The sequence below is a fragment of the Homo sapiens genome, chromosome 6 (genome assembly GCF_000001405.40).
Source record: "Homo sapiens chromosome 6, GRCh38.p14 Primary Assembly".
NCBI lineage: Eukaryota > Metazoa > Chordata > Mammalia > Primates > Hominidae > Homo > Homo sapiens.
The window spans coordinates 156,763,298-156,789,570 of NC_000006.12; the positions used below are offsets into that span (position 1 = coordinate 156,763,298).

The window sequence follows — 26,273 nt, forward strand, 5'->3', positions numbered from 1 at the left end:
CATATAACATATAGCATCTTATACTTGAGTTAACAAAGTTAGAAATTAAAACAAAGTATCTAGAAAATACATCACAACTCAGCTACAAATAGCCTATTTTTAGACCCATCATGCTAATAACTTTATTTCTCTGTAGTGCAAGGAAATATCTAATGTCTATATCTAATAATTGTAATAGTCTGAGCTCTTTGGCAGTATAGAGAAAAAGCATTTTCAACAGGGGTTTTAGTTATTTTTTTAAAAAAATCCCAAGGCTGGGCACGGTGGCTCATGCCTGTAATCCCAGCAATTTGGGAGGCCGAGGCAGGCGGACCATCTGAGGCCAGGAGTTCGAGACCAGCCTGGCCAACATGGTGACACCCTGTCTTTACTAAAAATGCAAAATTAGCTGGGTGCAGTGGCATGTGCCTGTAGTCCCAGCTACTTGAGAGGCTGAGACAGCAGAATCTCTTGAACCCGGGAGGTGGAGGTTGCAGTGAGCTGAGATTGAGCCACTACACTCCAGCCTGGGTGACACAGCTAGACTCTGTCTCAAAAGATAAAATAAAATAAAATAAAATAAAATAAAATAAAATAAATAAATCTCAAGTCTGTAGGGTGGCCACACAGCCTTTTTGCATGCCATTTAAAAATTATATATGTGCTCTGCATTGTACAACTTTTATTTCCCCCATGTTGTCTAGAAATTTTCCCCATGTTGATATCTGGAAATCATTAAAGCAATCCATGATGGCTGTTTCTAGTTCTTTGACTCTTGCTACGTGGAGCAGAGAACTTTTCTTCTATAATGTCCCAGGGCAAAATTCCACATTTCAGAAGTAGGGCTCCTGGGGAGGCCCTGTGGGCTTGGGGTTCCCTAACTACGAGAGCAGAGTACTGGCATAGGAGGGTGGTCGCCTCACGTTCTCCCTCCTGCAGAGACCACCCTTGCAGTATGTTCAGACGAGCAGAGTGACTGGCATGTGTCTTGAAAAAATATGGCTCCAGCAAGTGATGTTCTGAAGTCATTGCCCACGTTGTGACACGAGGATTCTGCTCAATTTCCCTAGAATAATGGATTGATCAGCCGGGCTCGGTGGCTCACACCTGTAATCCCAGGTCTTTGGGAGGCCGAGGTGGGAGGATCACTTGAGGTCAGGAGTTTAAGACCAGCCTGGCCAACATGGTGAAACCCTGGCTCTACTAAAAATATGAAAATTAGCCAGATGTGGTGGTGCATGCCTGTAATCCCAGCTACTCAGGAGGCTGAGGCAGGAGGATCACCTGAATCTGAGAAGTGGAGGTTGCAGTGAGCCAAGATGGTGCCAGTGCACTCCAACCTGGGTGACAGAGAGAGACTCCGTCTCAAAAAAAAAAAAAAAAAAAAAAAAGAAAGAAAGAAAGCAAAACAGAAGAGAAAAGAATAATGGATTGATTGCTAAGAACATATCCTCATGCATAGGGGCCTTGTGCCTGCTCAGGAAGTGTCGGGAAAGCTCAAATATATCAGTCACACTGGTCCCCTGCTTGGAGGAGCAGGCATTGCCCCAGTATTGCTCTAACTGGTTTCAGAGGTCATTCGTTCAGTGGAGGACCAGGTCCTAGGTTAGGCCCTGGATATGCAAAAATGTGGGGGTGCCCTTCTGGAGCACCCTTTTTGGGGTTGGGACATGAACACTCACAAATATTTACACCATAATACAATAAAGGCTAAGATCGTGATGCCCACAAGCTGGTTTCATAGCTCTGAGGTGACTATTCCATAGGGCGTGTGGGAACTGTGATCAAGGAGGGCTTCACAAAGGCCAGTGATATTTGGGCCGAGTTTGGAAAGATGGCAGCTTCTTAACAAGCAATGGGAAAGAACACAGGAGGCAGCAAACGTAAAGGCGGAGAGGCGTGAGCAAGCCCGGTGGGGCAGGGGTTAGCAGTGGAATTCGTCAAGGACCGCTTCTCAGAGAGGGCTAGTAGTGAGCCTGACTTGGGAGCAGTGGCTGGACATTTGGGGGAATGACACGAACCAAGGCACAGAGAGAGGAACCAGCAACAGTGGGTGAGGGCGGAGAGGCCAGGGCCGTCCTGAGGGGCACCATGGTGGACTGGAGGGCCACGGGGCAGTGAGGCCTGAAAGAAAAGGAGCAGATAGGGGCTGCCTTAGGGTTGGGAGGCTGTGGCTAGGAGGACAAGAAGTTGGTGAAGGAAACAGAAAGTGTGGAAGAAGCTAGAATGGTCTCAGGGAAATCAGGGAAGGGGAAAAATAATTTTGAGACTCACAGAGTCACCGGTGGCCACTAACTGGTCCATTCGCCACAGGAAACTGAAGTCTGTCAGTAGGTGCCTCTTTCAGGTGGAGGACCGCCATCTGCCCTTGAGACTTCCATCCCACCCACACCCCTGAGTCCTCCCGCACATATCTGGCACTTAGAAGGGCTTATATCATGTAAACAGACCTCCTATCTCAGCTCTAATCCGCAGGAGTAGAATTAGTTACAAAACACCACGCTCCAGATATCAATACATATTTCTAAAAGATGGAAGCAGGGGAAAGCCAAGAAAAGACAAGAGGGTTTTTCTAGAAGAAAGAAGGTAATGAGAAATCAGAGATGGAAATTTTCCAGGAACCAGATGAGGCTAGAAATTAGAATGTGGCAGGGGTTATGGAATAAAATGGAGTCAGTGGGGCCAATTGTTTAAGGAATTTCTCTCTGGAAAATCAGCAAGGAAGAATACTAATTGGAAAGGCTAAGAGGGTCTTACTCATCTTCTACAGTTTTATGTTTGTTTGTTTCTGAGACAGGGTCTCTTGCTCTGTTGCCCAGGATGGTGCATAGTGGCATGATCATGGCTCACTGCAACCTCAACCTCCCAGGCTCAAGCAATCCTCCCAGCTCAGCCTCTCAAGTAGCTGGGACTGCAGGAGTGCACCACCACACCTGGCTAATTTTATTTTTTATTTTTTTTGTAGAGACTGGGTCTCATTTTGTTGCCCAGGCTGGCCTTGAACTCCTGGCCTGAAGTCACCCTCCCACCTAGGCCTCCCAAAGTGTTGGGATTACAAGTATGAGCCATCGCAACCATCCATCTTCTACAGTTTTAACCTCAAGCCTAAAATTGCTATGACTTCCATGAATTATCTCACATTAGTAAGAGGATCTAGCCTGGCTAATGATACATGTATCAAATGATAAATTATAGTTTGTAACATTGTTTTTTTCCTAGACCCAGTGATGTCTTTAGTAACCATGTCTGGCTGTGTCTCTCGCTCTCTCTCTGTCATTCTACCTCTCTCATCCCTCCCTCTTCTTCCCCACTTCTGTTCCCTTCCAGTTTCTTCCTTCCTTGTCCTCTTCTCCACATCACTGTGGGTGACATGGACTCTCATATCTGTGCATGAACCAATCCTTGTCATTGCAGCCAAAGGGACCCACGTGGGCCCACATGGTAGGGTGCAGGTTCCAGAGGCCTAGGGCCAGCAGCTTCCTTTACTTCCCTCTTCCCTCCTGCCTTGGTACCAGCCTCCTTTTGTAGCGGTAGAGGATCTATGGTGCTTCGTCATCACCTCTAAAGTAAAAATGTTCTACATCATCCCCTGTCCTATGTAGCCACAGAATCATGGCATTAACTTGGGCTTGCCTGGAAAAGAGCCCCCCCTACTGCATGACCCTCCTTCTCAGTACCCATCTCCATCTATCAAGAGTCTATCATGCCATGGTCAGCGGTGGCAAACCCTGGGATTCCAGCTTTGAGGGAATGGGTTGAGGATCCATGAGACTGAACTGTTCAGAAGGAAAGAAAAACTTTTCCAATATTTAGGTATGTTCTCCTTTTCATACCTTCAGCTCATTAATATCTAGGGCTGGGTCTGAGGGGATATTGTGCAGGAAATAGACTTTGTCCCCACCATTCAGCCTCCCATTCACTGAGGTCCCTCCTCCTGCTTCAGCCCACCTTCTTTCTGGCATCCACATCCTCTTTCTCATCTCCTCTCCTTCATCAAAGCAGGCTTTCAGAAACAGATCCAAAATATGTTCATAAGAAGGTGTAAATAACTGATACAAGTTTAAGGTATTACTTGTTAGAAGCAAATTTGTATTTTGACAAGGCTCAAAGCCTTTGCGGAAAAGAATAAATCCATAAATCTTTAATGGAGAAAGTTTAATTACATAGCAGGAGAAATGCTTGGGGTTGAGTGGAGTATACCTGGTTTTCCTGAAAGCATACAACACACATCTATTCTACTTAGACATTAACACACACACACACACACACACACACACACACACACACACACTCCTCAAACCTTATCTGTTTAATTCCAGGCAATATGTTAAGTACTTACATATACTTTCTCATTTAATTCTTACCCCCAGAAATTGTACGAAGTAGATATTTAGTGTCTCACGTACATCCTGGTACACACGAAGGTCAGCACATTGCCCAAACTTGCACGGCCTGTAAACATGGAGCTGGGATGCGAATCTACCCTCTTTCCACAGATCATGAAGCCCCCGGCAGGAATACTCCATCCTTGTGGCGAGGAGGAGTAGTTTTCCTGTTTGCCTCCTGGGTTGCTATGTTAAGGAACATGTAGAGCTTTAAGTACCTTTTCTTGTAAGTCATCTTTAAAAGGCCTCTTAATCATCTTTGTTTTTCTCTGAACTCCCCAGAGTCTGTGTGTGTCATCCTCATAATGATTTGCTTGAAATGAAACACAGTGGCCTGGTCTATTTTCACTTTTCAGCCTATGCAGGATATAAAAATAAACAGCATATGGTGAAAAGTTAATGAGATTTAAAAAAATAAGTTCACTTAAAATAATCCATGGGGTTTTCTACATGTGTTCTTGGTCTGGTTTCAAAAACCACAGGAGTTTTACTATGCTTTAGAAAAGGGTAAATATTTTGCATTGTTTCTATTGGGGTCAATGGGAAACCAATCTTGTAGAATCAGCACTAATAATCATGTTGTTTGTAAACAACTGCCATGCTAGACTAGTACAGACCAAGCCTTACTGTTATGTGCCCAAGCGTTAAAACATGTACATAGCAACTCTGCAATGCTCTCTACAGTTGCGAATCTCATGCCTACACAATAGTCCCTTAGCTAACAAGAATGAGGAAGTCTACCTGGAGGAAGATGGTAAGTCAGACAGACTTCCTTTCTTAGAGCAGTAGCCCTCTGAACACAGCTGGAAACATGTTACCTTGATAGGTAGAAACCACCTTTTAAGAAAAATGCTCTCTGCCTTATTTTTGTATTTTTTGGTGGGGGGCGGGGGGCGGCGTGCAGGGGGACAGGGTCTTGCTCTGTCACCCAGGGTGGAATGCAGTGGTACAAACATGTTTCACTGCAGCCTCAGACCTCCCGGGCTTAAGCGATCCTTCCACCTCAGCCACCTAAGTAGCTGGGACTACAGGTGCGTGCCACCATGCCCACCTTTTTTTTTTTTTAGAGATCGGGTCTTACTATGTTTGCCAGGCTGGTCTTGAACTGCTGAGCTCAATCCTCCTGCCTGGGCCTCTCAAAGTGCTAGAATTACAGGTGTAAGCCAACATGCCTGGCCTTCTCTGCCTTTTAAGTAATTTTTTAAGTTAGGAATCCTGTATTTATTTATTTTATTGAGACAGGGTCTCACTCTGTTGCCAAGGCTTGTGTGCAGTGGTGTGATCACTGCTTATCGCATCCTCCAACCTCCCAGGCTCAAGTGATCCTCCCACCTCAACCTCCTGAGTAGCTGGGACCACAGGCACATACCATCATGCTTAGCTGATTTTTGTATTTTTTGGTAGAGATGGGGTTTCGCCATGTTGTCCAGGATGGTCTCAAACTCCTGGGCTCAAGCAACCCACTCGCCTCAGCTTCCCAAAGTGCTGGGATTACAGGCATGAGCCACTGTGTCCAGCCTGTCTTTATTTTAAATGACCAGCATAGTCATTGCTGCTTTAGCTACATCAGTTCTCTGCTCTGAAAGAAACAATTAATTTGAAAATGCATGTAATAATTTTATTTGCATGTTTGGATTCAGCCATAAAATTATGTTGACAATTGAGCCCCCACTGTGGGTTCAGGAATGTTCTGAGTGTGGTAGACAATATAACAGAAATTGAAGACAGGGACTTTGTCCTTGAGAAATTGATCCATCCAGCTAGGGAGATGAAAATTACCTTAATAAAGTACAGTTATCAAACACTTCTGGTGTGCCAGGTGCTGTGCTCAGAGCTTTGAAGACCTTATTTCACTGAATCCTCAGAAACCTGGGGAAGTAAGCACTACTGCGATCTGTGTGTTATACAGGAGTAAACCAAGGTTTGGGATGTTTACAAACTCTTCAAAGGGTTGTTGTGAGGATTATGTGAGAAACCATAATGCATTATATCAGTTGGGTTTACATGTGATTTTCTACAAAAAAAAAAAAAAAAAGAAAGAAAAAGGGGGAAAAAAGACCAAAACAAAGCAAAAAATACCAGAAGCTTAAACAAGACAGAAGTTTATTCTTATTTCTCATACACGAAGTCAGGAGGTAGACAGCAGCTGAGCTGCCCTGAGCAGCTCCGCTTGAGCGTGTGGACGTACTGACTTCCAAGGGAATATGCAAAATGTCGATTTTTTTAAACAGGTGGTCATGTGCCCAGCTAAACACTGGGGCTTCTGTAACTAAAGGTGGGAAGAACAGATATTGGGTTAGTTAGGCAACTTGCTTCTCTGCCGTATGTATGCAAAGTGCCAGACACGGGATAAACATACTAAGTGGTATGTAATAACAGTTACAAAGCTCAATGCAGCCTAGAGGTGGTTTGGTTCATTGATTAAATACAACTCTTTGTGTCTGAGGTTTTCTCTTTTTTACGCTTGTGCACTATCCCTAAACAGGTAAGTGAATGAGAACAAGGGAGGGTGTACCGCAGGCCGGGGGCATCCCCATCCCCGCTTGGGCCAGCTTCTCCTTTACCTTTTCCAGAGATTCGAGGTGGTTTGCCCTAAGGTTTCACACCTGTGTGAAGGTGGCAGGAAGCAGCCAAGTCATGATGCAAAGCAAGGACGCTGCCCAGGCCTGGGCATTTCAGCTTCTGCTTGCCTCTCCTGCTCCCTCTCAGCACCTGTGAATGACAGCTCAGGTCTCTGGCAAATGGGAAAAACCCAGGACATGCCAGTCACATTGGACAAGACATCCTCTGTATCAGTGACAACAAGCAAGACGCCCCTCATGCTGTGCAAGCAGGTGGCCCTGAGAAAGGGTTGGTTGTAACTCATGGTTAGGTGTCTTGAATTTGGTCCATTTATTTTGAAAGGTTTTCCATGGATCATCTCAATCTCACAAATTCCTAGATAACAGAGAAGATGCTCAGGCTACAGAATGTTCCCACTGTGTGGAGTTGAGGAGTTGTCCTCCGCCTCTTAAACCTTGAAGCTTGCTTTTTCTTTTGAGACAAGTTCTCACTCTGAGGCCCAGGCTGGAGTGCAGTGGTCTGATCACAGCTCACTGCAGCCTCGACTTCCTAGGCTCAGGTGATTCTCCCAGCTCAGCCTCCCAAGTAGCTAGGACTACAGGCACATGTGACTGTACCTAGCTAATTTTTTTTTTTTTTTATAGAGATGAGATTTCACCATGTTGGCCAGGCTGGTCTCGAACTCCTGGGCTCAAGCTATTCGCCTGCCTTGGCCTCCCAAAGTTCTGGGATTATAGGCATGAGCCACCATGCCCAGCCTGAAGCTTTCTTTAGAGCTAAGTTTCTATGGTGAGCAGGGTTGGCTTATCAGAGCAGGGCTGGGAGAGCAAGCTGGGTAGGACTGATGGGTAGTGTGGAATGGTCTGGACGGCAGGGATAAAAGCTGGAATCTCCAGTTGCTTCATGCCAATATGGTTTGGGCAGGAAAGGGTGGAGAGGAAAAAGAGGAAAGAGAAGGCCTCGGCCCTGCCATCCTCTCACCTCCTTATCTAATCTACGACCTCATTCTTCAGTGTTACCTCCTCACTGTCTCTCTCATGGAGGCCACTGCTAGCATACATGGAGCTTTGTGTAAGTTAGAAAAAGACACCCCATTCTCCAGTGGACTCAGCTCTGTGCCAGGACTCAATGAGTAGCATGCAAGGCCCTGGCTGAATCAGAGCCCCCACCCACCTCCTTGGCCTTGAGCAGTGAGCAATCTGCACATTCTGAAGTAGTGGACTCTGTGGGGTCAGTTCACTTATCTCTATCCCCATAGTCCCTCTGGTCCCCATACAACTCCACCATCTCTCTTTTCTCACTTGGGCTATGCGCAATCATCACAGATAATTAGGAGAGCCATTTATAAAGAGGCCTACATTTAGACGCGGTGTTGTTGCCAGGTACAGTTATACATTTAGTCCTAGAGATAACAACAACTAGATTAAAAGATGTTCTTCATGTTTTTTGCTTTTTAGGTTGGGATCTATGATCAGCTCACACTGCCCTATGAATTAAAAAATAAATAAATCTTAAGATTTATTCTGCAAAAGGCATATTTGTATAGCATTGTATTCTTGAGTCTGTACATTAGGAATTTAAAAATGTAAACATTAAAATAAACATTTGTATGCTCCTCTTTTATGGTTTTAAAAAATATCATAATATCCTCAGAGCCGCAATAAATGAGAGTGGCCAGGCCGCCCTGGTCCCAGAGGTTTGAGCCCCGACTCCCGGGACCTGCCGCCCGATTCCAGCTCTGGCCGCACTGCCAACATGCTGTCTTCCTAGCAGTGGTTTCTTGCTATAACCCAGATCTGATGTCAGCCCCCTGCTTCAATGCCCTGGTTACTTCCCACTGCTTTTGGGTCACAAGCCCTGATTTAATTGGGCCTGGGACAAGCATGGTGGTCCCTGTCTCCCAGCATGCCTGCCCTCACCCTGCTCTCCAGTCCCACTTGCCTCCTGCCGTCTGCGGCACTCTTTCCCTTCTTTATTTAATGTTTTCTCCTCTTTCTTTAGTGTTCAGCCCAAGTCACATTTCCTCAGGGAAGCTGTCCCTCAGCCCCCAGTCTGCATCAGGCTCCTTGGCTATTTCCCTCATAGAACCCTGTACCTTTCCTTCAGAACCCATTGCTTTGTAACTCTCCATTAGTGATCATTCAATGAATGATCCGGTACATTCAATGTGGTCAAGTGTTATTAGTTTTTGTTGTTCACTCCAGTGCCCACAGCACCTAGCACAGGGCTAGGGCAGAGTAGGTGATAGACAGTTCCTTGTCAAATGAATAATTGGGGTTGAGGCAAGGAGTCCCCTTCCCAGATGCTCCTTGTGGGTTATGCTTTGGCAGGGAAACCTTTTGGCATGTCCGGTCCTTGAGAAAGAGGGTCACCTATACTACACAGAGTACAGCTTGACACAGGTGTCACCTGAGGGCCCAAGAAGATGCCAGGGAGAGCTCACTGAAATTTAAGTCTTAGAGTTACATGTTGCAATGTAACTTCAAGTTAGAGAGAGAAAAAAATTCTTTATATTTAACTTGGGCATTTTTAGGGGAATGGGTTAATAAGCAGATTCCTCAATGAAATTATGTCATTTTGGTATGAAAAGCATATAACCAAGTCCTTTGGCCCTGACCAAGACAATTAGATGACTGTCATAAACCCTTAAAGGTGCTCACTGACTCGCATAATGAATTAGAAACCAAGTCATCAGGTATAAGCAAGGTGAACTAAAAACGAGGAATGCGCTCCATTAATGCACGAGTTATTGTTATTTGGGACTTACTGTTTTTGAAACATAGTCTTATTCTCAAAGTTTACCTGTACTATAAAGCAATTAATCATTATCTGTGAGAGACCTAGAAGGCCTTCAGGTAAGTTCCTGAAACTTTTCTAGAAAACTGAGGTGATTCAACTGCCAAGTGACTTATTTGTATACCTGATTATATATGCTTACTACCCAAATATTTATTTTGAGGAACTAGAGTGGAGTTACCTATGCAGGACCTTTAGCCAGCCAGGCAGCATGTTATCACTAAGAACGGCCACAAAGATGACTACATGATGTGATGTAGAATACTGAAAAACACTGGTAGGTGCTCAGTAAGTGATTTTCACTAATGGCAAAATGATTGAGGACAGTACTGGAAATAAAAGCAGCCATTGAACACACATTTGTCTAAAAGTTACAAGAAATTTATAAATGAGGCTGTGATAAAGTCATTCAAAAGCGGACAGTCCAGGATAAAATAAAAAGTACAATGTATTAAAATGTAGTAAGGTGTTTCTTAATGTATTTCACTGGTGTTACTATGTTTCTAAGGAATTTGGAGAGAAACTGTAGTAGCCTGATGTTAAACTTAAGGTTCTGGAAGTCCAGACTCCACAGTGGTGGGTTCCAGGTGTCAAGTCGGAGTTGTGTCAGCGGGAGGATTAGGGTCAGCTGCCCGCTAATGGCAGCCAGCAAGCCTCCGCTGCAGGAAATGCTGCGGGATGGGGAAGGTCTGAGCTTGCTTCTTTACTGGCCAAATCCCATGTGACATTGAGGGGCAGACCTTAGTAGGTATGAGTGATTGTTAATTGTTTATCTCCCCTATGAAGGACAGGACCAAGGTAATTATCTTTCATTTTCAAGGCATGGCACAAGGTAGACTCTAGGTAAATTTGTTGAATGACTACATGCAGTGTATCTCCATCCAGGTTTATTATCCCCACAATAATTTTCTTAGTAAGTTTATTAGTGCTACCGTCTGCCATAGTTCCCAAATTTGAACTATTTTTTTTGCCTAGGCTTCTTTTTTTTTTTCAAATCCTACCTAATTGATTTGCACAGTTGTTTCAAATCAAATGCTACATCCCATATCTTGCAGTGACGCAGTTATTCACTGCTAACGTCTAAATCGGAGAAGTGAAAAGGACAATTGTTTCGTGCTTTCTTAAGTCCCTGACCAAGATCAGTAGGGAAATCCCATTAGCTCTATTCATCGCATTTCTCATAAATCTAAAAGGAAAGCAAGTATCCAAAGCTTTATTCTTTAATAGTTCTTATTTGTAAAACCTTGACAGGGCTTTATTCTAAATTGCTTCCAAATTACATAAAGAATAGTTAGAAATATGATGGGCAGTGAATCGTGATAGTTTCAGTCATCGAATAAATAAGTAGAACAGTAAAAGGGGACTAATCTGAAAGCAAACAGAGTATGATGGGCTACGATGAGGCAAAAAGAACAGAACTGTGGAATTCTTAAACTACCATCTGGCTCAATCCCCTTTAAGTGGCCAAGTTGAAGAGCCTTTTATTCAGTGCCCTAAAACTTATTCAAAAGGCGCAGTATTTGAATATTAATATTTCCATACAGTAAAAAAAAAAGTCTTTTGTAACCAAAAAGGAATGTTTAACAAAATAATGGGTAATCCTCTGGCTAAACATGAGGGCGTGGGGAGCACCCTGTGGGTGGGAGGTCGGCTGGAACCCAGGGTGGCTGCGGGCAGCCTCCGGGCCTTCCCCTCATGGCTTCTTTGTGGTTAGGGTAACTTATTAAAGTTGTCATTGTGGTTTGAAATTTAGGCAAGAGGTGTAAAATTAAGGAATTCATTAGGAAAAATGAGCGCAGTGATTTCTAGTACCTTATTTCATCAAAAAGAAACAATAAGGTAGAATTGCCATATGAGATAGTTGAGGCAAGGAACACAATGGAAATTTGAACCTGTGGTTGAAATTGTGCTTTTGTGTAATGGGAACCTATTTCATCACTTTGTAACAGACCCCTGACAATTGGTGTTTTGTTTGTTAAGCCCTGGATGTTTAAATGAAACTAAACAGGCTTTTATTTTGTTTTCCTGAGGTGTGTATGAAAAGTTGAGCAAATTCGAGTGCACTTCTTATCTTCAGCAAAGATGCTTTAGAAAGGTATTTTAGCATTCTCCGTGGTTTAAAAGACAAAACCAAGTCCTGCCGGCTTTGTGTTGTGCTTCTCCTACAGGCTGCAGTGCCTTCTGTCTGCTTTAGGGTGTGGCATCTGCCATTGGGGAGGAAAAACTGGCATGTGTCGCCTTTTATAGCAGACTGATTTCATTGTGCTGGGGGCCTCTATTTTATAGTCTCTTAGTTCCAATCTTCTAGTTGACTTGCTGAAGCAAATGGAATTAAAAGAGATTTTGACTTCTCTACTAATTTTTTTTTAGTTTCACGATTTGCCAATATGAAAAAATATTTTAAGGAAAAGGGCCATAGCTGAACTTGGTGACTCATTTTCCCTTTTAGGATTAGTTGTGAAAATAAGCCACAACATATGGCTACACTTGTATGAACTGACTTTGATATATTTTATCAATTTGAAAAAATGCACTTTTAGGATGATGTGTACATACTTAGTTTGACTATGTCTAAAAGCATAAATATGTAATTGATTTTAGAATATATGTATATACACACAAAACAGACATATATTTATATTTGCATATGAAAAACTAAAAATTCAACTTCTGTGGTGTAATGCGTATAATTAGTATGTATTTGAATATATAAAGGGAGAAAATCCAGGAAAAAATGTCAAAAAGGCACACTAACAAAGATGTAGTATTCTCTTGGCAAAAACTGATGAATGATTTGGCACGAATTCATCTTATGGTTCTGTTATTCTCTCTAACACACGATGATATATCCCGTTTTCCAGTTGTTTGCGTAGAATTGCAATTTGTTGTTTCTACACTCTATAATGACCCTTGGGTGTGCACCTGATTCCCTCCCCCCGACCCCAATTAGTCACCAGTTTTCCCATCAATCCTTTTCTATTTAGTCATGTAACATATTTACACTTGGTCAAACAAATAACCACTGCTGCAGTGGAAATGAACTAAAATAGTTTTTATGGAAAGCTGAAGAATGAAATAATTTTGGAAAACTATACTCTACCAAAACCGTAAGTATTGTTTCTGCCAGGTTTTAAATGCTTTCTCTCAATGAAAACTGAGTCCACACTAGTACAAGTGGGTCATTGCCTAAGGTTAAGAAGTCTTGCTTTTTAAAATGTTACTAGGGGACAATGCACATATTGAAAACATTAATAACAATGCAAATATTAAAAACATTATAAAATGTTAATAGACACCAATTTTTAAGAGAACAAAGTATGGAACATTTCTACATTAGGACTAGAGTTGACTGTTTTATATTATTATTGAAGTTATATTTATTAAATATAATGTCTATAATATTTTAGTTTCGTTCCACATCTCTTTGAAATGAATGTATATCGAGAGGGTTAACTGTGCACACGAAGCTCTGAAACATGATGAAAGGTGTCATATAGATTTATGAAGATACGAGCTAACCCATAGCTGTCGCTGTTCTGGCACCAAGAGTTAAATGTTCATGTGAAAGTTGGCGCAGAAAACACCACTGTACATACTCCACAGAGGACATCCAAGTGCATGTAAGAAAAATGCTCCTTTGGGAATACGTGGACATATTCCTTTGGAAATACACTGACAAACCTACATACGTGTTTAAGGTGCCTTCAAAAAGAGTTATGTAAACATTCTCTTTGGGGCGGGTGCAGTCAGTCATAAGCATTTATTGAGTACCTACTGGGTACAGGCCATAGGGCTCTCTGACCGGGGCTAACCTTCATTTCAAATCTTTCCTAATTTTGCAGTTGGAAGAAGTTGTGGGAATTACGCCGATGGCCCGAAATCAAGGCAGAGGCGAACGTTCTGAAAATTACATAACTCCTGGGAGAGACCGTGCTTTTGCAGATTGCCTAAATATTTTCTTTCTCCGTCGGCTCCTTGTAACCTCTGAGGCCAATAGACAACTTTGTTTCCCAGCCCTTCTCCCTCTTTTGTCTGCTCGTCAGACTCGTTTTCCACCTTTGTATCGTTCCTTTTAGACGTGAAAACAAACATGCGAACGCCCGGTTGGCAAGGAGACAGCGGCCCGGGGGGAAAGTGCAGGTTCCGGCCGCCCCACGCCGCCGCGCTCCGAGCGGCCGCCGAGCCGCCCCGGCCCCGGCCCCGGCCCCAGCCTTAGCCCAAGCCCGGCTGGGTCCCGCGAGGCTGCGCCGGGGCGGGCGGCGGCGGCCCGGGGACGAGTCCAGTCCGCGTTTTGCGAGTGCGCGGGAGTAATGCGAGCGAAGTGGATAATAGTTGCTCGAGCTCGCCCGCTGCCTCTCAAGCCATGCTGGGCCCGATAGGCTCAGCTAGTCGTGTATTTACCCATATCCGGGCTAGAGAGGAAAAGAGAAAAGTTTCATTTAAACCTGAACTAAAAACTTTCACCATGAAAGCACACAGCAGGAGCAGGCCCAGAGCGTAAGGCGTGCCCGGCCCGGCGCTCCGGCGGGGCCTGCGGAGGGGGAGGGGGTCGCGGCTTCCCGGCGGGCCGCGTGGATGCGCACAGGAGGGGCCGCGGCCTGAAAAGTGGGGGTTATTGTCTCCCCCCGCCCCCCGCCCGGCCTCGCCACGCCGCGGCGATCATGGCCGCGCGGGCAGCAGCGGCGGCGGCGGCGGCGGCGGCGCGGGCGCGGGCGCGGGCAGGCAGCGGCGAACGGCGGGCGCCCCCCGGGCCGCGGCCGGCGCCCGGAGCCCGGGACCTGGAGGCGGGGGCGCGCGGCGCGGCGGCGGCGGCGGCGGCACCGGGACCCATGCTGGGGGGCGGCGGCGACGGCGGCGGCGGCCTGAACAGTGTGCACCACCACCCCCTGCTCCCCCGTCACGAACTCAACATGGCCCATAACGCGGGCGCCGCGGCCGCCGCCGGCACCCACAGCGCCAAGAGCGGCGGCTCCGAGGCGGCTCTCAAGGAGGGTGGAAGCGCCGCCGCGCTGTCCTCCTCCTCCTCCTCCTCCGCGGCGGCAGCGGCGGCATCCTCTTCCTCCTCGTCGGGCCCGGGCTCGGCCATGGAGACGGGGCTGCTCCCCAACCACAAACTGAAAACCGTTGGCGAAGCCCCCGCCGCGCCGCCCCACCAGCAGCACCACCACCACCACCATGCCCACCACCACCACCACCATGCCCACCACCTCCACCACCACCACGCACTACAGCAGCAGCTAAACCAGTTCCAGCAGCAGCAGCAGCAGCAGCAACAGCAGCAGCAGCAGCAGCAGCAACAGCAACATCCCATTTCCAACAACAACAGCTTGGGCGGCGCGGGCGGCGGCGCGCCTCAGCCCGGCCCCGACATGGAGCAGCCGCAACATGGAGGCGCCAAGGACAGTGCTGCGGGCGGCCAGGCCGACCCCCCGGGCCCGCCGCTGCTGAGCAAGCCGGGCGACGAGGACGACGCGCCGCCCAAGATGGGGGAGCCGGCGGGCGGCCGCTACGAGCACCCGGGCTTGGGCGCCCTGGGCACGCAGCAGCCGCCGGTCGCCGTGCCCGGGGGCGGCGGCGGCCCGGCGGCCGTCCCGGAGTTTAATAATTACTATGGCAGCGCTGCCCCTGCGAGCGGCGGCCCCGGCGGCCGCGCTGGGCCTTGCTTTGATCAACATGGCGGACAACAAAGCCCCGGGATGGGGATGATGCACTCCGCCTCCGCCGCCGCCGCCGGGGCCCCCGGCAGCATGGACCCCCTGCAGAACTCCCACGAAGGGTACCCCAACAGCCAGTGCAACCATTATCCGGGCTACAGCCGGCCCGGCGCGGGCGGCGGCGGCGGCGGCGGCGGCGGAGGAGGAGGAGGCAGCGGAGGAGGAGGAGGAGGAGGAGGAGCAGGAGCAGGAGGAGCAGGAGCGGGAGCTGTGGCGGCGGCGGCCGCGGCGGCGGCGGCAGCAGCAGGAGGCGGCGGCGGCGGCGGCTATGGGGGCTCGTCCGCGGGGTACGGGGTGCTGAGCTCCCCCCGGCAGCAGGGCGGCGGCATGATGATGGGCCCCGGGGGCGGCGGGGCCGCGAGCCTCAGCAAGGCGGCCGCCGGCTCGGCGGCGGGGGGCTTCCAGCGCTTCGCCGGCCAGAACCAGCACCCGTCGGGGGCCACCCCGACCCTCAATCAGCTGCTCACCTCGCCCAGCCCCATGATGCGGAGCTACGGCGGCAGCTACCCCGAGTACAGCAGCCCCAGCGCGCCGCCGCCGCCGCCGTCGCAGCCCCAGTCCCAGGCGGCGGCGGCGGGGGCGGCGGCGGGCGGCCAGCAGGCGGCCGCGGGCATGGGCTTGGGCAAGGACATGGGCGCCCAGTACGCCGCTGCCAGCCCGGCCTGGGCGGCCGCGCAACAAAGGAGTCACCCGGCGATGAGCCCCGGCACCCCCGGACCGACCATGGGCAGATCCCAGGTAACCCTCGCGCCAGCCGGGCCTGCTTCCGCCCGGCGGCCTCGCCGCGCCGCGAGCCTGAGTTTCTTTCTTTGCCGCGTACTTTTCCCCGTCTTCCCGCGGGGGCGGCGGGGGCGCGGCGCCCAAAGCCATCTTGACGGGCGGCCGCCTCCCGCCGCGGTCGGGGCGCCCCGGGGGCCGGCGCGCTGTCCAGGCCTGGGAGGGCTTCGCCGGGCCGGGCCGGGCCGGGTGGCTTCTACCCCGCCGGCCCGCACCCGCGTCCCCCCCCTCCCCCAGGCCCGGGAACGCGAAGCGAGATCCCGAGGCGCCACCCGCGCGGTCGCCGTTTGGGGCGGCGGGGACCGTTCGGGTGCTTTTGTAACAAATAGGCTCTCCCGGCCAGGACGGCTGGGGCGAAGAGCCACCCGATCGGTTCTGGGAGCGCCCACAATGTGCTTTAACGGGGGAAAGAATGAGGAACTTTCTCACACCTTTAGCCACAGCACGTTCCCTCTTGGCTTCCGAGGTCCAGGCAGGGAAAATAGGTTAGCTTTGTGACAAGCGAGTGGGTTTTTCCTACTTAGGGAGAGCCATTCAGAGACACTCGGTGCGGGCTTCGAGCTCGAACGTTTGCTGGTAGGAATAATAACAAAATTTACAACGACATGGAGGTGCAATATTGTAAAATACATCGATTCGTTCCTTAGAATAGCCAGGGAAATCCATTATTGGGCTTACGGGCTGCTTGCAGGGAGTCACCTTCAACAGGCAGGCTATGTGAAAGGAGCACGTTCCGGATCAATTGAACTTATTTTGATCATGGATTAGGCATGCATTTTATTCAGCAAATCCAGTAAGATAGCAGACCAGTGAAAATTGATCTTTTGGGATCGTATTTATTTGGATTTTCTTTATTTTGCTGTCACCCGAGTCCTACAGCGCTGTTAGGAAGTGTCCTGCACTCTTGCTGTTTCTTGCTAGTAGGCTGAGCCTAAAGACTGACTTGATCTCCTTTGCAAGGTTTGGAATTTGAATTGTGGAGGTAAACTGGCTGTAATAGTCTCCAGACAGCTGCCTCTGAGTTGACATCTAATCTGCCATCTGATTGGCTCCCCTCTCACCATTGGGCATTTAGCACTGCTGATGTAAATAGAAGTGCTGAGCAGTACAGTCACAAAAATTCTTGCCACAAATAATAACTGAGCTCTATTACAAGCAAATGTAAGGTTCAGTATTTAAAGCTGAAACTATTATGAATCATAGTTATTAATAAGAGGATCAAATACAGAAAAACAGTTCGCTGGTGTCCAGTATTGGGCATTTACAAAATTCAGATCTTTGATGATAGTCTTAGAATATGCACATTACATATATCATAGACTTTAATTGGAGGCTGAGGATAAGGCCATTGAAAAATAAGTAAACCACGAATTTTACCAATTTTTGGATTTGTAAAGCCTTTATAAAAGTCTTCCCTTTACAAATTCAACTATGGAAAAATTTGAATTCTGTCAGCACACGCAGCTTAATAAAACCTTAAAATTTTTTTAAGATTTTGATAGGCAGCAATATATTTTGGTGATGTGTAATTCACCTGATAAACAAGATTTAAGCTTCATTTTTTTGTGATTTATCAGTTCTGACTGTTCAAAGATATTTGTGGATGAGGAGTTTTGGTTAGAATTGACATATTTAAAAAACGAAATGAGGAAACCACATATTTGTGCAGATAACAATAATTAAAAGGGGAAAAATGAGATATTCCTGTGAAATACTAAGAATCATTTCATATTTGCTTTTGATGTGGAGAATACAGAAATGCCCCATAATCTTTTTTTTTTCTTCATTGTTTTGTTAGATTAGGTAATTTGAGCCTTGTTTGAACTGCTTACACGATGAATTAGGGAAACTATATTCTAAGCAAGTTGTGCTGGGTGTCTTTTTTTCCAAATAATTTTTCTTTCATGTTAATGCTATGAAAGTTTAAAAAATCCTAATCTGTTAGAGAGGAACAACAGTCGTTGTATGTATATTTTTATGTAACTCATTTATTTTAGGAAGAGGTATTTTAACAATAATCATACCTTAGAGACTTGTCAGAGTGAAGGAAGGGCTGAATTTAACAAATAATCTTGTGAATCCTAGGCTGAACACTGCTGTCCACTGCTTTCAGATCTTTAGTTATTGGAGTTTTGCTTTTAAGGATAATAGATTTTTCTATTCTTAATAGAAAACTTGTGATTTCAACTTGTTTTTGATTCACACGAGGAAAAACATTATAGAGAAGAATCATGGAAATAAACCCACGTAATTAATTTTAAAAAGGTTTGCTTTGTCAGCCTGCTTTTAAAGGAGCAGTTTAAAATTCACATCTTCGTAAACTAGAGACGAATGAAGTTAGAGGCAGATGTAGGACCATGTTACTTTAGAGTATTTTTTTCTTAATGGTACCAATCATTTTCAGTATTTTGTTTTCTTGTAATGAGAATGAATCCATTATGTCCCTATGACCCTTGGGAATAGGCTTTTTTTTTTTTTTTTTTTTTTTTTTTTTGTTGAGGTTGGGGGAAATATGGACATGCGACCTAGATTCAGGAATTTCTTTTAAGTACCTTACCGTGTAACATGTGGAATGTGTCTTTTTTACAATCCTTTTTTTTCTTTTCTTTTTGGAAGTTAGTATTATTTAGTATTAGTTGTTGTAATTATACTAAGAAACAGTCATTTGTCCAAAATATTAAATTACTGCCTGACTGTAGGTCATGAAATGCTATTAAATCACATTGTTAAATGATGAAATATTTTGGCTTTTAATATGTTTTTAGTTTCATTTTTGATTTCAGGAAATAGTTTCTATTGGGTGGCAAATGTTTTCGTAATTGGGACAAAACGTGTATATATTATAGGAGAAGGGTCTTTTTAAAAAGTGAAATAAGCCATTTGACGATTCAGTTTATTACTAGATTTTTGTAAGATGAGTATTCAGATGGAGCAGTCTCAAAAGGAATATTGAGGTCTACTCACGCACATAGGTTTTATGATGTCCACATTTCTACTGAATTCCATAAATGCAGTTTTAACTTTTAGTTTTATAAAACGTAGTACAATGTATTAAGAAAAGGGCCTTATTTACCATTAGAAGAAAAGTGATTAGCTAGCATGCGAAGCAGGAAGCTACAAACTGGTTCCTGATTACCTTAAAATGTGTGTGAGATACATTATTTGATAAAATCACTCCCAGTTAAATTTTAGGGTGTCTGATATTTTAAATCTTGTAAACAAATTTTTGTGGCCTAAATTTATATATTTGCCAAAGTATGGATGGCTGTGTATAGTTAGAAAAGGTGGACTTAGTAACTGTGGCTAATGGAAAGGGCCTATCATTTAAAAAACAGGAAAAGAAAATATAACAAATGTCTGCAGTTTTGTTTTCTGAATCATCTGGGATGAAATTATGCATGGCTTAAAATCGTTTTCATTGGGAGTCCTGATTTTTGTGGTACATACTTTTGACAATATTTTGGTAGTTTTTTTTTTTTAGTGGTAGCCACTCTTTAAGACAGCTATCACTTAGGTTTATGTTTATATTAATACTACATCAGTAAGTATATGCTAGGGACTAGCACATCCTTACCTTGAATCTATAATGAGGAACCTTAACCCCTCTTTGCTTTGGCTCTGCTTGTCTATATTTAGTCATGAATTTTTGGCAAGGCTTTTTATACTTGTTCCATTTTTCTCAATGTCATAGTGTATCAGAAGTGTGTTATGGATGTGGAAATAATGCAGATCACACTTGGACACTTTTACTAATATACTTAACCTCTGAATGTCATTTTCCTTTACTGAAATTGAAGAAAATAACGTCTTTATTCTGATATTTAAAAAAAAAAAACATTAATTCTGATTTGAGAACTGATTTTAAAAATGTAAGACAATGTAGAGGAAGACTTAATATAAGCTCATTTGATCGTTTTATTAGACACAGATACCTTTTAAAGAGAATAGGTGTAATAGAATGCGGTTGAGTTTTCAGTTCTATTTTTTATTAATAGACTTTATTTCTTTATGATTCTGGGCAGGGTGTATCTATCTAAAAAGATGACTTCTGATGTAATAGGAACACTTGCTTTCCTAGGATAAATTCCAATATCACAGGCAAACCGAAAAGATGATCATTTCATTTATTTAACCCTACCCTTTCCTAGGAGATGAGTGATTTGATGAACATTTGTTAGGGTTCCATGAAATTTTCTACTCCGTTTGGAGACTCACTGGGGATGTAAATTTTGGATGTGCTGGCCTAGGACTCTGTATTCGCTTTTTTGCCGGTGTCCTCAATCTGGAGGCTTTTCTTGCAGCTCTACACTGGACTGACACTGCTCAGCTCATGGGGTTGTGTGCTTTGATCCATGTGGGTGGAAAAGGGACTGATATTTCACTCGTGTCACTTTTGTTTTGGAGTGTATGTGTAGATTTGTAAATTTGAGATTGATATTTATGTTTGATAGAAGTGTGGTGTGTTGCATAAAATGACAGATTTATGGAGGCTGAAAATATTAATAAAACTTAATTCCATTTTTTTTTTGCAATATTTAGGTTTTCCAGTTGGATGTTATAAAATTTTTATGACATTTTACACTGCTGTTATTACTCAAGGGGCCGTATCCACCTCTTAGGCCTTTTTGGGATTGGGTGGTTTTGGTTGCATGCCTTTTCGGAGGTGCCCTTTCCTGAATGGGAGGGAGGTTTTTGCAGGTTCTCTGTGGATATGTAAAGTAGTGCCGCACGCTTGCTGTGTGTGCTTGCTTGAGGCTGAGGAATCCCAAACCCTGTTCCCTGTCGTGTCCGGGAGAGGCACCAGGCAAAACTGTTCCTCTACCAAGAATATATTTCTGTATCATAGATGTAGAACTATTATAAATATCTTTTCTCTAGCTTGGAGGCTATTTGAATGAGACTCAATGGCCCTTTTGGTTTAATTGGGTAATTGAGTGAATTAATTCTGATCTAAAAACTTGGTGTACTTTAGCAACTTTTTCTTCAGGAAATTTGGTAAAGATAAAATGACTTAGGTATCAGTCATTACCTGAGTGTCCTAAGTATTCATTTGTTTTTCCTTATACTGACATCTGAATGAATGGAATGATAGACATATACTATATAGTTTTAATTAGCAATTCACTTTGAGTGAGTGAATTTTTTCAGAGTAGAATATGTGTTTCCACTGTAAGTTTTCACTAAATATGTTCTATTTTCAAAATCTTTGACTTGGAGTAATTCTAAGAAAATTCTTTCCTTACATTTAGTTATTTGTTTTTCTTTTTGAGACAGGGTCTCACTTTGCCACCCAGGTTGGAGTGCAGTGGCGCGATCTTGGCTCACTGTGGCCTTGACCTCCCAGATTCAAGTGATTCTCCTGCCTCAGCCCCGCAAGCAGCTGGGACTACAGGTGCACGCCATCACACCTGGCTAATTTTTGTATTTTTCGTAGAGATGGGGTTTCGCCATGTTGCCCAGGCTGGTCTCGAACTCCTGACCTCAAGTGATCCACCCTCCTCGGCCTCCCAAAGTGCTGGGATTACAGATGTGAACCATCCTGCCAGGCAAGATTTACTTACTTAAATAGGATCCAGTAGGCAGTTTTCAAACCCACATCTGTATGGATCAATGCCAAGAATATTAGAAGGCTACTGAGTTTGACAGATGAACTAATGATGAAATTAACTTGTTTCTTGGATGAGATTTATTACCAGGCACCAGACTAAAGCCCTAAAATCTTAAGCCTATCTGGTTTATGAATAGCTACTCTTATTTCCATTATTAAAATCAGGTAGATGGCAGCAGAATCTGGAGGAGATTCACCCTCTGTTGACCATCTTCTGTAAGGTGCACTTCTCAGTGTCTTCCTGGGCCTTGATGAATGATGAGCTGGAGAACTAGACCAGAAGCCATTCCTTATCAGGTGACTCTGGAAGGGAAGCCATATTTGATGAAATCCAGAAGAAATCCTGGACCATAATGCTACATTTTTTCTTTTTTTGTAATGGGATGCTAAAAAATTAAATATATGGTTTTTTTTTTAAATAGAGGTAAGCTATACGTACATAACATACAACTTACCATTTGAACCATTTTTAGGCATACATTCCAGTGGCATTAAGTACATTGTCATTGTTGTGTGGCTGTCACCATCATCATCTATCCCCAGAACTTTTCCTTCTCAAACTGAAATAAAAATATTTTTCTCTTTCTTTTAAAATTGTTAGCTGCTAATGTGTATTGTAAGTAAAATAATCTTGTTTTTGTAACCATTAATCTTATCACTTCATAGTTTGTGAGTAAATTCTTCCGCAGACATTCCATCAGGATGCTAATGGTTTTTTTGTTTGTTTGTTTTTGTTTTTTATTAGTACATTACTTCCTCTCAATTCTAACTTTGGGGTAATCCTCATAGAGTTTGAGGATCTCTTTGGAGATGTGTATTACAAAGGTTAGTAGTTTCACTGCCAGTTATGTTATTAAAATTTTGAAAAGCAGCTTTTTGGAACCTTTCTAAAGTTTAAAGGTTGAGGGTATTTGTTGAGAGAAACCTGGGACTTGGTTAGATAATAGGGTGTGGAAATGAACTGTTACCATTCTCACTTTTCCCTTGCTTTTCTTCCCTCACCTTTTGCATTTGTAGTCTCTTAAAAATTATTAATTTTATTTTCCCACTATTAGTGAAAATCATTTATAGTGATATTTTTTTCTATTCTTTCTGTGTTTGAAGTTTCTGGGCATCTCACCCCTACCAACCCAGAGCAAACCCAGAGTCTAGGTGGTGCCATGTCCTTTTCCATAGTGTTCTCTGCCACCAAATTTGTGCCTCCCCCTCATGTTTTTACTTTTTAGTCCTCTGCAAAACTTCAGAAATTCTTTGTATGTGGAAAAATTACTAAATTAAGATGATTGACCTTTTAGAATTACATTTTAAAGGCAGCTGTGAAGGGAGACTTCTAGATCCTGCCTAGTCTCATGAACAGGCGTCTTTGGTTTGTGTAAGGTATTGGAATTGTACTGGAATTGCTGCTGATGCTGATAGGTAGTCACATCTTTGTAAGATCAGTTATGTACTTTAACACCAGCTTCCACAGAGAGGAAATGAACTGTTACTTAAGAGCTTGTACTGGGAAGCAATAGTTATTTCTTTAAGGTGTAAACATTTAGCATTTGTGTATGCAGTGAGGTATATGTTAGATAAATATCTACTCCAGACAGTCAATTGGCAAATATTTATTGAGCTCCCACTTTCTTAATCAGCCCTGTGCCAGAGACAGACAATAGCTGGGGTCTGGGGATTGCTGCTGTTGGTGTGCGGATCATGCAGAGATACTGCTAACGCTTGCTCCCTCCATACCTGGATCGTGGTATTGCTGACATCATTGACTTAGAACTGGCTCATTTAAACAAATTGCAGATAGCAACCATGTGGGTCAGCAGTCTATTTGGCCTGCTTTTTTTTTTTTTTTTTCCGGTGGGGCAGTATATTTTGGCAAAACAAAATCTGGTCAACAACAATTGTAGGTTGTTGTGATATAGTTGATGTGATCTAGTGACTCTTTTCCATTTCTACCAATCAGTTACTGGCTTTGTGCCAGAGCGAAATATAGATTCACTACCGAGAATAATAACTAAAAGAAGGAAAATATAATCACTTTCAAATTTATATAGAATGGTCCTTTTTCTTTTTCTCAGTTTTCTACATTACATAGATTCTTGGAAAAAAAGTTAAAACAGTCTGTTCAGATTTAGGAAGATACTTGGATTGCTGGGGTATTTTTGGTAACTGTTTAGATAATGTATGCTGGCTGAGGAGTAAATTCAGCTACTGCTTCTGGGTCCTGAAATAAACCTTTCAGAAAGCGAGGCATTGATGATTAGTGGAGGCAGTTCCAGAATTCTTAGTATCTACTGTTTCTTTTTGTGATGAGCATCTTAGAAGTTAAACCACTCACCATATTTCATAGCCTTATATTGAAATGATTGTTAATTCTAAAATTCATTTAGAAGCTGGCGTCTAATTTGTGAAATCTTGAGAACCACCTTTTAAGATTCAGTGACCATATATCAAGCTACACACCCATTTTAATGCCCTTTAAATTTTCTGTTACCACTGGTATATTTTATAATAAATTCACTCTAACTAATGAATTATAAATGACCTTGGAAATAGGAATGTGGAACATTGCTACTGCTGAGCAAGTATCTTTCTGAAGAAGCAGACATAATTCCGAGGGGACTGGCATGTTTGCTGTGTATTAGTTTATTTTGGTGATTCTGAGGATTTGTGAGCGAATAAGCTTCTATGATGAGGCATCCTGACACAATGGTAAGATCATGGGCTTGGAGCTGGTCAGACCTTAGCTCATTTGGAGGCCTCAGCACCCATTTTCTCTGCACTCCAGCAGGGGGTCAGTTTCCTTACCTGGAATGTTGGCTGCTGGGCAGGGTTGTTGAAAACCTTCACTGAGGTCATGGATGTCTATCTGTGGCATCTGTATGTGGCCCCTCTCTTCTCTGCCTACCTGCCTTCCCATGTGGGGCTTGTTTTCTCATTCTCTGCCTGGTCCTGCTGTACTTCGGGGTGTGGCTGACTCAGGACAAGCCCTTGCTGGCATCAATTAGGTGATGCTCAGCCCCTCCCAGCTCCAAAAATCTGTGCTGCTTTGAATTTTTAAACAAATAGTGCCTAATCAGCTATGCACCGCTGAACAGCTTATTAAACCACACTAGATCCCAGACATATTCTGTGAATATAAACTGAGACCTGTGCAAATACATAGATTTTTGCATTCCACTGTAGTTTCCCTTACAGAATGTGGTTTTGTACTGATTGGGACTCTTGCTCAGCAGTTGTATAAATTGGTTTTGGTTTACCCACAGAGCCTACGGCTGATGCCATTGGCCCCAAGCTGCTACCCCATTCAATATCCCATCCCTAATATTAATTAGTGGTCTCTTCTCTGGCCAACAATCATTCCTCTGTTATACTTCCTAAACCTTCCCACTTTGATGATCTGCAAAAAATGACTGGCTTTTTAGGAGAATTACTTTTTGCAAAGGAACGAAGTTGCAAAAATTTAAAAGTAGGCTTCTTGGAGATTTTGGGTGCTAGACTTTGGTCTCTCATTAGCTAAGTAACTTGCTTCTGTGTTTGCTTCATCTTCACTGAATATATGATTTAGACTTGATCCTTAGCAAAATTATAATTTACTATGCATGGAGGGTTAGGGCTGCTCTTAAATAGTCAAAACAGGAATGTCAAATCTAAGAGTACCGGGGTCCTCCCTCAAATATATAAAGAGCAATTTTTTTTAAATGCTGAGATTTATAAAACTATCAGGGACAAAATGTAATTCTATTATGAACAAATACTTACTGAGCACCACTTGGTGCTTAAGATACACAGAGTAAAGATGACATATGATCCTTAATTTTCCCAGGTGTATTATCATAGACTCCTGGTGTTTTACAAAGTGGAAATTAAAGTGAATGGCTACAGTTTTCTTCTGTAGTTCTTATGCAAAAAGACTATATTCCTCAAAGTGCACCATCTAAGAAGTATTTATGGAGTAAATGATGTATCCAAGCTGAAACTTTCCTAACGAATGTATTATTCATTTCCAATATCAGTTGCAAGGAAATCCGTTTGGTCAGTATTTGCTATTCTATGTGGAAGGTCAGTGTACTTGGAGATTGTTCTTTGGTGCTGTGACGTTGATGAGAAAGTGATCCTAATTTGGATTTTGTATTGGGTGTCATTCATATGGTGATTTTTCTGCTAAAGAAAAGCCTTCACATCAGTAACATGAAGGATTTAATACTCAGTTCATTTACTTCACTGTATTGAACTGTGTGCGTCAGGGCTTTGGAACTATAGATTCGTGTCATCACAGCAATAATGTGGGCAGAAGGCACATGTTTGTGAAGAGCTCACTGTGTGCCAGGCATCATGCTGGGTGATGGGATTCTTTGGTGACCTCCACAAATGGACAATGCAGGAATTAAGGACAAGTAAACATGCTACACAGTAAGGTGTAAAGGATTTTGTGAAAGAAGTTTTGATGTTAGAGGGTCA

At 44.1% G+C, this 26,273-nt stretch overlaps 1 protein-coding gene, 1 long non-coding RNA gene and 1 other non-coding gene across 38 annotated transcripts in view, besides 12 other annotated features; 1 reads left to right on the forward strand and 2 right to left on the reverse strand.

Annotated features, from left to right (window-relative positions):
• Positions 4,571–4,630: an enhancer, noted in NCBI's record as "active region_25318". NCBI's record gives its function as "activates an Ori minimal core promoter by ATAC-STARR-seq in GM12878 lymphoblastoid cells {active_cell/tissue: GM12878}" and the evidence as "EXISTENCE:reporter gene assay evidence [ECO:0000049][PMID:35858748]".
• Positions 10,218–10,512: a silencer, noted in NCBI's record as "tiled region #1028; HepG2 Repressive non-DNase unmatched - State 23:Low". NCBI's record gives its function as "represses a minimal TATA promoter and a strong SV40 promoter by Sharpr-MPRA in HepG2 cells {active_cell/tissue: HepG2}" and the evidence as "EXISTENCE:reporter gene assay evidence [ECO:0000049][PMID:27701403]".
• The window catches only part of ARID1B (AT-rich interaction domain 1B), a 434,754-nt gene continuing 421,209 nt past the window's right edge, over positions 12,729–26,273 (forward strand). For 35 of the 36 annotated variants that reach the window (XM_011535984.3, XM_017011105.3, XM_017011104.2 and 32 more), the window contains exon 1: positions 14,081–16,174. In XM_011535984.3, the coding sequence (XP_011534286.3) occupies positions 14,384–16,174 (1,791 nt within the window). In that variant the 5' untranslated portion in view covers positions 14,081–14,383. Of the gene's footprint in view, positions 12,830–13,564; positions 16,175–26,273 lie in introns of those variants that run through there. The other variant, NM_001371656.1, reaches the window with a different exon arrangement.
• Positions 13,063–15,221, reverse strand: LOC115308161 (uncharacterized). Its single transcript, NR_163974.1, has 2 exons — positions 14,949–15,221; positions 13,063–14,134 (listed from the first exon to the last, which is right to left on the reverse strand). It is a non-coding gene; the product is annotated as an uncharacterized LOC115308161 (long non-coding RNA).
• Positions 13,805–14,154: a silencer, noted in NCBI's record as "silent region_17708". NCBI's record gives its function as "represses an Ori minimal core promoter by ATAC-STARR-seq in GM12878 lymphoblastoid cells {active_cell/tissue: GM12878}" and the evidence as "EXISTENCE:reporter gene assay evidence [ECO:0000049][PMID:35858748]".
• Positions 14,175–14,414: a silencer, noted in NCBI's record as "silent region_17709". NCBI's record gives its function as "represses an Ori minimal core promoter by ATAC-STARR-seq in GM12878 lymphoblastoid cells {active_cell/tissue: GM12878}" and the evidence as "EXISTENCE:reporter gene assay evidence [ECO:0000049][PMID:35858748]".
• Positions 14,565–14,714: a silencer, noted in NCBI's record as "silent region_17710". NCBI's record gives its function as "represses an Ori minimal core promoter by ATAC-STARR-seq in GM12878 lymphoblastoid cells {active_cell/tissue: GM12878}" and the evidence as "EXISTENCE:reporter gene assay evidence [ECO:0000049][PMID:35858748]".
• Positions 14,785–14,854: a silencer, noted in NCBI's record as "silent region_17711". NCBI's record gives its function as "represses an Ori minimal core promoter by ATAC-STARR-seq in GM12878 lymphoblastoid cells {active_cell/tissue: GM12878}" and the evidence as "EXISTENCE:reporter gene assay evidence [ECO:0000049][PMID:35858748]".
• Positions 15,105–15,334: a silencer, noted in NCBI's record as "silent region_17712". NCBI's record gives its function as "represses an Ori minimal core promoter by ATAC-STARR-seq in GM12878 lymphoblastoid cells {active_cell/tissue: GM12878}" and the evidence as "EXISTENCE:reporter gene assay evidence [ECO:0000049][PMID:35858748]".
• Positions 15,298–15,833: an enhancer, noted in NCBI's record as "NANOG-H3K27ac-H3K4me1 hESC enhancer chr6:157099729-157100264 (GRCh37/hg19 assembly coordinates)". NCBI's record gives its function as "activates a minimal SCP1, AML or CMV promoter by ChIP-STARR-seq in primed H9 embryonic stem cells {active_cell/tissue: H9 hESC(primed)}" and the evidence as "EXISTENCE:reporter gene assay evidence [ECO:0000049][PMID:30033119]".
• Positions 15,298–16,364: a biological region, named in NCBI's record as "NANOG-H3K27ac-H3K4me1 hESC enhancer GRCh37_chr6:157099729-157100264".
• Positions 15,555–15,604: a silencer, noted in NCBI's record as "silent region_17713". NCBI's record gives its function as "represses an Ori minimal core promoter by ATAC-STARR-seq in GM12878 lymphoblastoid cells {active_cell/tissue: GM12878}" and the evidence as "EXISTENCE:reporter gene assay evidence [ECO:0000049][PMID:35858748]".
• Positions 15,675–16,364: a silencer, noted in NCBI's record as "silent region_17714". NCBI's record gives its function as "represses an Ori minimal core promoter by ATAC-STARR-seq in GM12878 lymphoblastoid cells {active_cell/tissue: GM12878}" and the evidence as "EXISTENCE:reporter gene assay evidence [ECO:0000049][PMID:35858748]".
• MIR4466 (microRNA 4466) lies at positions 16,381–16,434 on the reverse strand. The gene has a single exon (NR_039676.1). It is a non-coding gene; the product is annotated as a microRNA 4466 (primary transcript).
• Positions 16,395–16,564: a silencer, noted in NCBI's record as "silent region_17715". NCBI's record gives its function as "represses an Ori minimal core promoter by ATAC-STARR-seq in GM12878 lymphoblastoid cells {active_cell/tissue: GM12878}" and the evidence as "EXISTENCE:reporter gene assay evidence [ECO:0000049][PMID:35858748]".